Here is a 14,636-nt window from a genome sequence, read left to right as displayed (position 1 = left end):
TCATCATCTAGGTTTTAAGCCCTGTGTGCATTAGGTATTTGTCCTAATGCTCTCCCTCCCCTTGCCCCTCAACCCCTTACAGGCCCGGGTATGTGATGTTCCTCTCCCTGTGTCCATGTGTTCTCATTGTTCAACTCCCACATATGAGTGAGAACATGAGATGTTTGGCTTTCTGTTCATGTGTTAGTTTGCTGAGAATGATGGCTTCCAGCTTTATCTATGTCCCTGCAAAGGACAATAATTCATTCTTTTTTATGGCCCCATAATATTTCATGGTGTATATGTGCCACATTTTCTTTATCCAGTCTATCATTGATGGGCATTTGGGTTGGTTCCAAGTCTTTGCTATTGTAAACAGTGCTGCAATAAACATATGTGTGCATGTGTCTTCATAGTAGAATGATTTATAATCCTTTGTGTATATACTCAGTAATGAGATTGCTGGGTCAAATAGTATTTCTGGTTCTAGATCCTTGAGGAGTCACCACACTGGCTTCCACAATGGTTGAACTAATTCACACTCCCACCAGCAGTGTAAAAGCGTTCCTATTTCTCCAAATCCTCTCCAGCATCTGTTGTTTCCTGACTTTTTAATGATCCCCATTCTAACTGGCGTGAGATGGTATCTATCACATTGTGGTTTTGATTTGCATTTCTTTAATAACCAGTGATGATGAGCTTTTTTTTCATGTTTGTTGACCACATAAATGTCTTCTTTTGAGAAGTGTCTGTTCATATCTTTCACCCACTTTTTGAAGGGGTTGTTTGTTTTTTTCTTGTAAATTTGTTTAAGTTCTTTGTAGATTCTGGATATTAGCCCTTTGTCAGATGGATAGATTGCAAAAATTTTCTCCCATTCTGTGGGTTGCCTGTTCATTCTGATGATAGATTCTTTTGCTGTGTAGGAGCTCTTTAGTTTGATTAGATCCCATTTGTAAATTTTGGCTTTTGTTGCTATGCTTTTGGTGTTTTAGACATGAAGTCTTTGTCCATGAGGCTTTCATCTCCATTTAATTTCTGAGAATGGCCATAAACTAACCCAACTTTAACCACTTAGTCCCTATTGTGGTTGTTTTGCCAGATGTAGTGTTATTACTAGAATAGATCTGAGAAAGTATTTTCCTCTAGTGCAAAAAAAAAAAAAAAAAAAAAAAAAAAAAGAAAAGAAAACCTAACTGGTATTCAGGAACAAATAAAAATATTCATTCATAAATTTGCTCAAGGCTAGATGAACTCTTCTACTCTCTGTTACAATATAATATGAAGAGGCCTAGACTATCTGAAGTCTGCAGAATATCTTATTGATCTATTACATTGATGACAGAGATGATTGGACAGGATGAATAAAACACCATAGCCTTCACAGATAGGGAGGTAAATCTTCATAGATAGGGAGATAATTATTTTCGTTAACCTCTCACTTCAGGATATTTCAGCAAGCTCCCGGACCAATCGTCAGGAGCTTGCTGAAATATCCCTTATAGAGGGTAAGAATAATTGCTACATTGTGATTCTCCTACCACAAAGAAGAAAGTGAAGTTTCTGGTGATAATATGGAGGCTGGAAGCAACAAATTTCATACATAGAAATACTGCACTGATCCACGTACCACTAGGCATAAAAAGCTGCCATTCCTGATTGTCACCTAGAACAGGAATATTCTAAGGTATGTTGATAACATTTCTGCTACCAAATCTTTATGAATAAGCACAAAGCATATTAGAATTACTCCCAGAAGCCATTACAATATATGGAGATTACTAACAATATCTTAATTATATACAGCAGTGACTGAGTAGCATGTAAAGTCTTAATTAAATATTTCTTTCAACCTTCTTCTCCTTAGCCAGATCCTCAAAATCCTTCTGGTAGTCAATATTACCTAACATCGAGAAAACTGTGATAAAGAGGAAGTTAGAATGAAAATAGAAGTTGAAATATCTTACATTTGGAAAAGTCATTAAAATACATATTTTAAAACACTTTGCTAGCACCCCTTCCAGAGACTCAGATGGCATTCATTTAAGTTAGCTGCCTTGAAGTTTAAGCCTCACTAGTTTCATGGCAAATCTGGCTCTGCCATTGCTTTTTTATTATTTAAAGCAAGCTATTATCCTCTGAAATGATTTGATTTGTTGTTTAAAGAAAGGAAAAAAGAAACATGACCTTGAGGAATATTCCTCTTTATAAGATTCACAAATAAAAGGTTGCAGTTCTTATTTTGAGATCAATATTTTAATTAACTTTAATTTTCATCTATGAATAATGTAGTTTGAGGCAGATAACTTACTAGTCTCTCACAAATGTATATCATATATTATTAGTGTGGCTTTTTATTTTGTTTAATTTGACCTGTCATCATAAGTACAAATTAATCAAAATTCAATAGGGCAAACAGTTCATAGAGAACTACCACCATAAACAAAATAAATCCTCAAAATAAATTAACATGCAACTAATAAATATGTATCACAAACTTGTATCCAATGCATAGCACTGTGAAACATCAAATATAATAAATTCAGGCCAACTTTAACCCCAATAAAGAAATAACTAATGAAGTACTGTAGATAATAACCTACATAACATAGCATTCTAAACATGCTAACATAACCAATCAAGAATAACTTTCAAATCTATCTGAATGATGAAAGGATTCTAAAATGAAACACAATTGATATAGTGCTTTAGCCAAGTAATAAATAACTGTCCCTCTAGTAAGAGATGTGTGTTTGGGACAGCCACTCTCTTACACATTCTAATAAATTAAAGGCAAAATTGGAAGCAGGTATTTTGGTGCATCAAATTTAGAATTAGTCTTACACACAGAAAATATATAATACACATGCTAAAATTGCATACCACTGGTCCCAGTCAGCCAGAATTCACAGTCTTAGCTACTCACCAATCATTTAAAAAGATGGTGTATAAGAAAAGCATACTGTCTCGCATCTCAAAAAAAACAAGATGGTCTAGTCAAAACATATCCTTATTGTAGCTGTAGGACATATTTTCTTCATCATTGGCTGGCTGACAAATATATTCTAACCTACTTTGGAAAAACAGATGAAGTTTAAATGGATTGAATGATATATTTCTGTATACTTTACGCCTCTACATATCTCTAAAAAATTTTTTTGGATCTAATTTTCAAGAAAAGATTGTTGCCTCAGAGAAGCTGATGGGCCTTATTTCCATGGGCAATTTAAATTTTATGTAGAATTATGGTTTGTTTTTCATTTAAAACAAGAGAAACAGCATCAAGTTTATATTTAATTTTAGTAGAATATTTCTCGTGATTTCCTGGATTAAGAGCAATTAAGAGATTCTCAATTTATCTCCCTAGGGCATTTTCTTGATAGAAAAGTGTTTCTTGTAACTATTCCTCAACTATTCCTGACTTCTGCTTTTCTGTTGGTAAGACTGCAGACAGATTCTGAAATTCCAAGTCATTTTTGTTAATGTGTCCTCTCCCCTAACATTCAAAGCCATTCATATGCTTGAAGGGCATCAGGACTAATTACTTCTAGTGAATGCTGTTGAGTACTTCCCAGATACTATTCAAGGACCTAATTACTGCAGCTGCTTGGAGTATTGCCTGCTGAATTCTCATAGTCAACTTCTTCTCCAGCAGTAGTGTCAAGCTGAAGGGAGCTGCTTCACGTAACATCTTGCCCTTACCATAAGGGAATCCCATCTTCAGTGATTGTGTGACGAAGGTGTACAGAGGCCCACACCTCTCACATATATTCACGGTATCCCTGAAAACCCACCTCATCTCCGAAGTCCAACTGACTGATGCCTCAGTTACAAGTGAATCATAATTCAACTTCTCTCTACCCAATCCTGATTGATTCACTCTCTTACAAATAGTGTTCTCAGTAGCACTCATCAACAAAATCTCTGTAAGCAAATCTTTATTTCCTGGGGAAAGTGACTTATGTCTGTTGGTATTGGATGCATTCCTAGGAAAATGATCCTAAAATAAAGCAGAATAAACCACCAGCAAGATGCTAATGAGTACTCAGTCACTGGTCAGGTTTAGTAGTAAATGTCCCTTGCATGCTATAGAGATGCAATTGTTAAAAATTCATCCAGTAGGCCGGGCGCAGGTGCTCATGCCTGTAATCCCAGCACTTTGGGAGGCCAAGGCAGGTGGATCACCTGAGGTCAGGAGTTCGAGACCAGCCTGGCCAACGTGGTGAAACCCCCATCTCTACCCCCATCTCTAAAAATACAAAAATTAGCCGGGTATGGTGGTGCATGCCTGTAATCCCAGCTACTAGGGAGGCTGAGACAGGAGAATCGCTTGATCTCAGGAGGCAGAGGCTGCAGTGACCTGTTCACATTCTTGAGCCAGTAATTGAAAAATGAATAGTTACATTTCCTTTCTTAATCGCTTAATTTCCTTTCTTTGGTAGCTGTGGTATATTTCAATTTCACTAGAAGAAAGAATTGTTAGTGTTAAGGCAGATGAGAGATTGAAATTCTATGTACATAATAAATGCTAAAATTCTAAATAGAATACATAATAATTCTTCCTTTGATTGCCATCAAAGAAGGAAGTTGACTGTTAACAATTTCCTTTTTATCATAACCCTATCAATGTTTCCCTTTACTTGTCCAGATACTTAATCATTGTCAATCCTACATAAAGTGCCTCCTTCCTTTTGAAAATATAATGAGCCTGTGAGATTTTATTCCTGAGTCAAACAGAATTCTTCTGTCATCACCCTCCTTGATTTTATTCCTTTGTTTGTATGCTCATGCTAATGGACTACCTAGAAATGAAATTCAATATAACTCCACTGTGATAGACACACAAATAAGAGAAGAAAAGAATACTAAAAGGGGGAAGGTATTTTTGACTTTGGGAATAGGAAAGGACAAGGAGCAGCCATTTTCAGTAGTAGCATATGTCAATAATTTATACACACCTGCAGTGTATCAGAGTAAGAAACAAGCTTCCTTTTTTGCAATAAAAATATTCAATGCTAAAGTTTTACAATACCATTTATTCTCCACAATCTTCTCTCCTGACTCCTCTCTCTCCCCTATTTTGTCTCTTATTACAACAGAGTACATATTTTAATGTGTATGTTTGTGTTTATATTGGTGTGTAGAAAAATGACAACACTGGTTTTTATATATGTAGACCATGGGTTGGATAAATTGGAAAAATATGAAAGACCAGAAATTATTTAGAAAGTACTTCAATAGCAGAAGAAAATAAAATGGGGCTGGTTTAGTAGTAGAGAAGACTAGGAAAACCACCACAGTGAAAAAATATTACAGAAGATGAACTAAGATTTCAAACTTAATATGGGAATGTGGGAGCAAAGGGAAAGGAGGAAGAAGGAGCTAAAGATTACTCTGGAGAAGAGATCAAAGAAAACAAAGGGACAAAAATGTACTGCCTCTACTGTGAATCAGAATGGTAAATCACAGTGTTATGTCTTCCAGCTTTCAGTTTGTTATATATTAATCTACCTCATTTATGCTAAGCCTCATTTGCATTATCTGTAAAATGTTGATATAGTATCTACCTACTATCTACCTACCAAGGTTGGCTGCAGTAGGGATTATATGAGATAATGTACTTAAAATATACATTAAAGCATATGCTGATTAATCATTGTTTCACAACTAGTAGTTATAAAATTCCAGATTATTATGGTGAAAAATTAAATTTAAAGCAAACATTAATTTCCAAAGGGTGATGACATCCACCTTAAGACAGTGCCTTATTCATCTCATTCACCGTAAAGAGCACGTAACTTTCTTGATTTCATAGTACAGTAGTTAATAGAGTTTACTTCACATCCTGTTAATAGTTTATATCACTGTGTTTTTATTTTAAAGCCATAGATTAGTGTTCATTTCACGTGATATTGTAGATATTTTTAAAATGGCTTTTAAATACAGCAAAATATAAAATCAAACAAATTTTGTGTTTGATTTTAATCAAACAAATTTAATCAAACAAAATTAACAAAATATAAAATCAAACAAAAACGGCTTTTAAATACACCAAAATATAAAATCAAAACAGAATTAAGAAGCAGTATATACCTGTCTGAAAAGCAGTATATACTTTTGATAGCAAATATTTACATTATGTTTGCTTAAAGTAAAACTAAAATGTATATAAAATAACTATTCTATTATTACAAAATAAGGACAAAGGTAAAGATACCAAGTGGACCCAACATAATCAAGCTTAGCTTGTTATTAATAACTATTATATGCCTAGTTTAAAACTATTTCATGTGAATCATAAAATGATGAAAATAAAAAATGGCCTTTCCAAATGTGATTAAAGTAACAAATTGAAGTAACTGATACCATGGCGACTGTGGACTCTTCCAAGTCTGCTATTTCTTTAGTAGCTAAAAAGTTGCAATAACCAGCTGGGCCCGGTGGCTCATGCCTATAATTCCAAAACTTTGGGAGGCTGAAGCAGGCAGATCACGAGGTCAGGAGTTTGGGATCAGCCTGGCCAACATGGTGAAATCCTGTCTCTACTAAAAATACAAAAAATTAGCTGGGCATGGTGGCGCGCGCCTGTAGTCCCAGCTACTCAGGAGGCTGGGTCAGGAGAATTGCTTGAACATGGGAGGCAGAGGTTGCAATGAGCAGAGATTGTGCCACTGCACTCCAGGCTGGCAACACAGCAAGACTCCGTCTCAAAAAAAAAAAAAAAGTTGCAATAACCAAGGAGGAAGCAGCACTTCCTTTTGCAATTAAGAATGCTCACACATTTTCCAAAGATTAAATATATAATTTTAATTCCTTTTTTTGTTGGTTGTTTTGCTTTTAATTTAATTTTAAGTTCTGAGATACATGTGCAAGACGTGCAGGTTTGTTATATAGGTAAACACGTGCCATGGTGGTTTGCTGCACCTGTCAACCCATCACCTAGGGATTAAGCCCCACATTCATCAACTATTTATCCTAATGCTCTCCCTCGCCCCGACCCCAGTATGTGTTGTTCCCCATCCTGTGTCCAAATTGCTTTTCCTCTGTAGTTTGAAGCAGTAATATAATAGGCCTAGAACCTGGAGCCTGTCTCTTCTAGCAGGTACTCAGCAGCTGAAATCTGCAAGTGGGATTGCTTCCTTTCAGTACTGGCAGCATTTGGTTACTTACCTATGACATTTCTGACCTGGTTTCCAAAGAAACCCAAAACAAGGTTTTTATTCTTAGCCCTGAAATTTTATACGATGGTAAGTGTATCTTTAAACATATAAGTATAAAAGGGAAAAAAGAAAATAAATGTTATCAATTTATTTAATGTGTTTTTCTCTGTTCTCCCTTTCCTAATAGAGTTCAATTTCTACATGTATTTTTCGAATTTTATCATTTTTATTTAGACTTCGAAATTGAAGCAGATATTTGGCAGTATCCATAAGCCAATCAAAGATGAGGAAATTTACATCTGTATTTAAATGGCTCATGGTTGATGGATCACACGCACAATTTCGAAGAGTTTTTAAGTGCATAATAATGGATATCAAGGTTAATAGCTTTACTAATTATACTACTTCAGACTAGAAGAAAAATATGGGAGTAAAACAGAACAATGTTTGGAAACAACTAGTATTTAGACACATACTTTTTATGACATATTATAACATATGTATGTCATATTACAAACATTTAAAAATGTGTTACAGATAAAATTATTATATCATTATATAATATTTTAGCTAATATATTCAAAACACATTTGTTGTTGTTAGTGATAAATATACATGTATATACATTTATATTACTTACTATATTGTTAGACCCTCCAGTGAAAGATTGAATAGAAGTGAGTATCCTTTCCTCGATCCTGACCTTAGCAGAAAAGAGTCCAGTTTTTTTTTAACCATTAAATGTAAGATACACATCTCACATTTACATATATATACATATATAGATATATATGTATATATGTGTATATATGTATATATATGTGATATGTATGTATCTATGATATATATGTATATATCGATTTACATGTGTATATATCGATATATCGACATGTGTATAGACATATAGATCGATATATAGATATCGATATATAGATATATATCGATATCTATGTGTATATATCTATATAGATACAGATATTTTTATACAAAGTCTTGCTCTGTCACCCAGGCTGGAATGCAGTAGCGCGATCTCGGCTCACTGCAACCTCTGCCTCCCGGGTTCAAGCGATTCTCCTGCCCCAGCCTCCTGAGTAGCTGGGACTACAGGCGTCCGCCACCATGCCTCGCTAATTTTTGTATGTTTTATTTATTTAATTATTTTACTTTATTTTATTTTATTTTTGATATGGAGTCTTGCTCTGTTGCCAGGTAGGAGTGCAGTGGTACGATCTCAGCTCACTGCAATCTCCACCTCCCAGGTTCGAGTGATTCTCCTGCCTCAGCCTCCTGAGTAGCTGGGATTACAGGCATGTGCCACCACACCCAGCTAATTTTTGTATTTTTAGTAGAGATAGGGTTTCACCATATTGGCCAGGATGGTCTCGATCTCGATCTCCTGACCTCATGATCCGCCTGCCTCAGCCTCCCAAAATGTTGGGATTACAGGCGTGATCCACCATGTCCAGCCCATTAAATGTGATACTAGCTCTAGGTTTTTTAGTAAATGATGTTTATCAGATTGAGGCAGTTGACTTACATTTCTAGTTTCTTTAGTTTATTAAATTCAAAATAAATGCTGAATTGAATATTATTAAATGATATTCTGCATCAATTTAAATGGCCATATGTATGTTTTAAATGTGGTGACATGATTTACTTTGACTGACATTCTAACATTAAATCAATCTTGCACCTGCAATGAACACTTGCTTATGATTAATTATTATTTTGTTATATTGTTAGATTCAATTTGCTGCAATTCTGGTACAAATTTTAGAGTGTGTTTTTGAGGAATATTGATTTGTCATTTTATTTTTCTTTTAACATGTTATCTCACTTGGTTACACAGTCATGTTGGCTGGGCACAGTGGCTCACACCTGTAATCCCAGCACTTTGGGAGGCCAAGGCAGGCAGATCACCTGAGGTCAGGAGTTCGAGACCAGCCTGGCTAACATGGTGAAACCCCATCTCTACTAAAAATACAAAAATTTTCCAGGCATCATGGCAGGCACCTGTAATCCCAGCTACTCGGGAGGCTGAGGCAGGAGAATTGCTTGAACCCGGGAGGCAGAGGTTGCAGTGAGCCGAGATTGTGCCACTGCACTCCATCCTGGGCAACAGAGCAAGATTCCATCTCAAAAGAAGAAAAAAATAGTCATGTTGACCCCATAGAATGAATTGAAAAGTAGATTCATATGTACAGTACTGTTTTCCACCGCTGCTCTGATCTTTGTCATTTCCTTCTGTTTGTTTCTTCTTAAGATAGAAGCTGATCTCTAATATAAGCATTTGGTGCCATAATTTTCCTTTAACTACTGGTGTAGTCAAATCCCAAAAGTGTTCATCTATTGGAGGGGCAAGAGTGACACTGGGGCTTGTCTAGAACGAGGATTTCTAGGAGTGGCAAGTGAGAGGCTGAAGATAGATAGGGAGGTCATGGTGGACTCAGAAGAGCAGGGCTTGAGGGAGCTGGTTCCTCTGTTGTGGTGACCATTGCAGCCTTACCTGAGATGGCAAACAGGAGGGCTGGATCAATCCTACATTGTTGGCACAGGTCTGGATTGCCTTGCAAAGTATAGAAAACCTGCACATGTGGGGCCTCAGGCCATCTATCCTTATGTGTACAGAAAAGTTACAATTGCCAGATGGTATAGAAATGAATGATTCCTTCCTGAAGCCAAGCCAGTCCTTCCTGTAAATCATAATTTGGCCTAACCTTTGTGCAGAGGGCTATGAGGCACTTTTCCTCCAGATTCTGAGGATCAAATCAGTCCCAATGGTTCAGGATACATTCCAGAAGATTATAAGCTGAGGGTGGTGAAGAGAACTGGTTGCCCATCCTGAAAGGCAGGGAATAAAAGCATCCCTCATTCCCTTCCTTCTTTCAGTGAAAACTCAGAGTGTGACAGAAAGAGAAAGTGAGCATCCTCCCTTCACTCTCCATGCCTTATCTCTGAGTCCTGGCGACCTTGCCACGTGCCAGCCATAGGTACCAATGTGCCAGGTACTCATGAAGCAGGGAAAACCTGGGAGGTTTCTGTCTGTGTAGCTCTTATCTTGGAACTCTTCCCTATTAAAATCTAGTCTTCTTGGCCTCACCATACATCTAGCTTTCTCATCATTTCAGTGAAAAGACCAGACTCCTCCTTGGTTTTCTTATACTGCAGCCTAGAAACTCTCTCCAGGCAATCATAAGGCTTGTTTCTGTTTCTTTATTTGTTTGTTTACTATCTATCAAGGATCAGTGCCCTCTATGCCTAATATCCAGTGTCTGGAAAACCATTGCTTTGTATCCTTTCATCCATTTTTAAATTTTGTTTGGATAAGATGGTAAATCTGGCCCCTGCTACTCCATGTTTTTTCAAAGTCTGAGTTATTTGTTTATATTCTTCCAAATAATGTATATGTTTGTTTACGTTAGACAATTGACAGGCACAACAAACTATAGATTATTTCAAATTAAATTTTAATCTTGGCTTTTTAGGCCTATACACAGTTAAATCTCATTCTGATAAAGCCGAATATATCTGCTATCTTCCTCTACAGTCCTTTGCTGGAGAACTCAGCATTAGAATGGGAGAGAGATTAGTTTGACCTTCCACCCTGCTGGTATCCAGATTTGCCTCCTAATCCTATACTATTTATTATATGAAATTCTAACTCCATGTCATTTAGGGTTGGAAAATGTTCTACTAATGAAATGTATTAATTCCTCCTCATTTATTCTCAAATTTAATTTTTTAACATGGCCATGTGACAATCGCCAAATGCTACACACACACACACACACACACACACAAACACACACACATTAAATGTATACATATATATTATGTATATATGTTTGCATATTATACAATATATACATATAATATGAGTGTGTGTAAATATGTATATTATATGTATATAGATTATATATATAACAGCATTTTAATAATTCTGGACAAGATGCACTCTCCAAATATCTAATCTTCCACAGAACCATCAGAAAAGCCTTATATTTCTATGTTAAATTATCCTGATTCTCATGGGGAGATATAAGGGAATGGCACTTTCATGATAATTTGTTTTATTTTTAGATATTGCTCATTTTAGCTTCCTAATAGGTTGCCAGGAATTTTACATCTATTTCCAATTATGAAATTACTCTTGCCTAGTTTGGTATCAATAGCATATTCAACTGATAAAAGGTTGTGTAAGCTTTGATATGGTTGGTACTTCATTTAACTTCAATCCTAGAAAGAATTTGCTTGGAAACCCTTTTATTTGGATTTATTTTTATCTATTCTGTTGAGGTTTATTGCATTAAGTTAATTATGCAATTTTTTGAGACACATTTTTTTATCTCAAAAATAAATCTCATCCATTTTTTAAGTTATTTATCTTCTTCAATTGCACTCTTTCTCTATATATGTGATATATCTATATATATCTCCAGTTAAAGATAGCTCAATATCTTCACTTTGATCTCACTTAAGTATTGTTAAATTAATATGATAATTACTAAGCTTCAAATACTCCCATTACTTATGACATGTTGATTTACATCTCAGAATAATGTAGCACTTAATTGCTCAACAAAGAAATATGAACATTCCTATCTCTTTCTTCACTCTTTTCCTCACATTTATGCTATTGCCAAATTTTATAAATCCCCCAAAATATTTTTCAAATTACTACTTATACAAAATCTCTGTAATTTTGCTCATCATCACTGTCGCTGCTTATGGCTTGTTTTCTAATTACCAACTCATCTTTAAGACTACAGTTAGAGAGCTCTCCCAAACTATAAATATCGTCGAATCATTCACTTCACTAAATAGTTCAGAGTTCTCAAATTGCCCTTTATATCAAATAATGATATCCCTCTGAGTTGCCTCTCCAGCCACATTCATGTTCCCGCTACTATGCTCATCTTATAATTCCTCACATTTGTCATAATCCCTCCCAATCCTCAGCCTTCTACCAGATACCTTTTCCTTCCTGGTACACTATCTCTTCAAACACTACCTTACTCATTTTTTTTCAAACTGTCTTATTTCTTAAATGTTTCTATAGAAGTCTAGCTTATGCTTTACATATTTATGTTTATGTTTACATAATTTAAATTAATCCCCTTAGCATAATACCAATCATACTTCAGCATTATTACTTGCTCCACATCCATCTGTTATGCTATGAGGTAAGGTCTATAACAACATGGAGCATATCCATCTTACTTAACTCTCTTCTATGCCTACATTTTATCTTGACTGTAAAATGTAGGGATTCTTGGATTAATAGGATATAATTAGTAACATAATAGAATCACAGTTAAATTGATATAATAGTAGAGTTAAAGTATTTATTAGGAGGTAAAGTTTTAGGAAGGACTTCATGTAGAATGTGTTATTTTTATTTGCATGTTGGTGTTGAAAGGTCAGTAAATTATAAAAATGAGGACATGGAAATCTGAGAAGAGAATTTATGAAGGTATGAAGTCTGTATAATGTATTTCATAAGTGGAAATAAAAAATGGAATATGGAAGTTGTAAAAGGAAGTAGTGGAGAGTAAATTTGAAAAAGAAAGATTTTCTTTCCACATCTTGAAGATTTTTAAATAATTAATAGAAGCAGGTATTGGGAGGAGCAAGCTGAAATTTTTGGCAATGGAATGAATTACATCAGTATCAATTTAATCCTACAAAATAGTAACATAAGACTATAAAAATTCATATATGTATATATACACATACATACACACAATAGGTTACAAAAATTATTTTTAAGAAGTAATATGTATGGGCCGAGCGAAGTGGCTCACACCTATAATCCTAGCATTTTGGGAGGCTGAGGCGGGTATATTACTTGAGGTCAGGAGTTTGAGAACAGCCTGGCCAACATGGTGGAACCCTGTCTCTAATAAACATACAAAACTTAGCCGGGCATGGTGGCGGGTGCCTGTAATCACAGCTACTTTGAAGGCTGAGGCAGGAGAAACATCTGAACCCATGAGTGGGAGGTTGCAGTGAGCTGAGATTGCCCCACTGCACTCCAGCCTGGGTGACAGAGTGAGACTCTGTCTCAAGAAAAAAAAAAGAGGTAATATATGGGATGCTATATGATGTATAATGATTCTTTACCTATCATATGCTGAAATTAACTATTTACTTCTATCTCCTATCTTCCCAAATTTCTTTCCAAACATTAGACAATTAGTGTACATGTCTTCTGGCAATTAGTGTACATGTCTTCTGGCTAAAGGAAATGTCATATTTAAAAAGAATCTAGTAACCCTCCAAGCTTAAAATATAATAATGAAGTTTGATATAAACTGTAAAAATAATTGGCGAATTCCTCACTGTGAGAAATCTCTCAGTAAGGTACGAAGTCAGAAATTTCGAATTGTTTGAACTGTAATTAGTAACTAATAAGCATTGTACAGATAAATCCAAAGAAGGAAGCTACTCTAATGATTTCTCTTTTCCTTGGCCAAGCAGTCTTTGGGAAAACAATTATCTTAATTAGCTCAAATGATGGTTTGCAGGTGTCAGAACCTAAGGCAGGAGGGATGTACTGGGAACACTCAGTGGAGGCAGCAGTGCATATTTTAACTAAAGCATATTTTAACTAACAGCAGGTGTAATATCCAGAACTATGTTGACCAAACAATTGGGCAAGATGAACTAGAAGGCCTGAGGTCCATCCTTCAAGCTGAACATTGACATATTTAAATAATGATATTAAAAATTGACTTACATGACAGCTTCTATATAATCCAGCTTCTGAAGTGTTTTGATGAAATTTTTTTAGAAATAGTAAACAATAATGCATTCACTTTAACAAAGCTTTTGTAAGGCACTCATTTGGAGCTCTTGAAAGAAATTAGAACTTCAGATTGGAGGAATGGTATGTAATGGATAAAAAGCTTGAGAAAGAAAAATTACCAATATATAGATATATGAAAGAACATTAAGTATAAAATAATGAACTATCACTCTAAGACATAGAAATATGAATCAGACATTGCCCTCTCAGAAATCATTCAGTAAAGAGCAAATAAAAGGCTATAAATTCATGAAAAAGCAAACCTCAATAAAAATTATTTCAAGACTACAGCATGTTTTACAATATAGCATCTGATTAGTTGGGAAGATAATACACAAGCATAAAAGGAAACATTTTAAGATTTGGGAAAAGTATGCTTTAATTATTTGTTTAAAGTAATATTTATTTTACTATCTATGAGCTACTATAAATTAACTACACTTTTCCAAAAATGTATTTTGTATTTATGCCTAGAAACATCCAAAGTGCCTGGCACATACACATTAAATGAAGATGACATATAATACTCATTTTCTTTTTGTCTTATTTGTTGGTATCTATTTTGCACCAGTGACTAAAACAGATTACATACTCACAGTAAGGATATGCTGTGTGAATTGAAGAAGCAGCAGCTAGGACAAATCAAAAAATTTCTTTCATCTTTACCTCCCCAGCACCCCATGATTCCC

The sequence above is a fragment of the Homo sapiens genome, chromosome 11, assembly GCF_000001405.40.
Source record: "Homo sapiens chromosome 11, GRCh38.p14 Primary Assembly".
NCBI classification, from domain to species: domain Eukaryota; kingdom Metazoa; phylum Chordata; class Mammalia; order Primates; family Hominidae; genus Homo; species Homo sapiens.
This window is presented reverse-complemented; position numbering follows the sequence as displayed.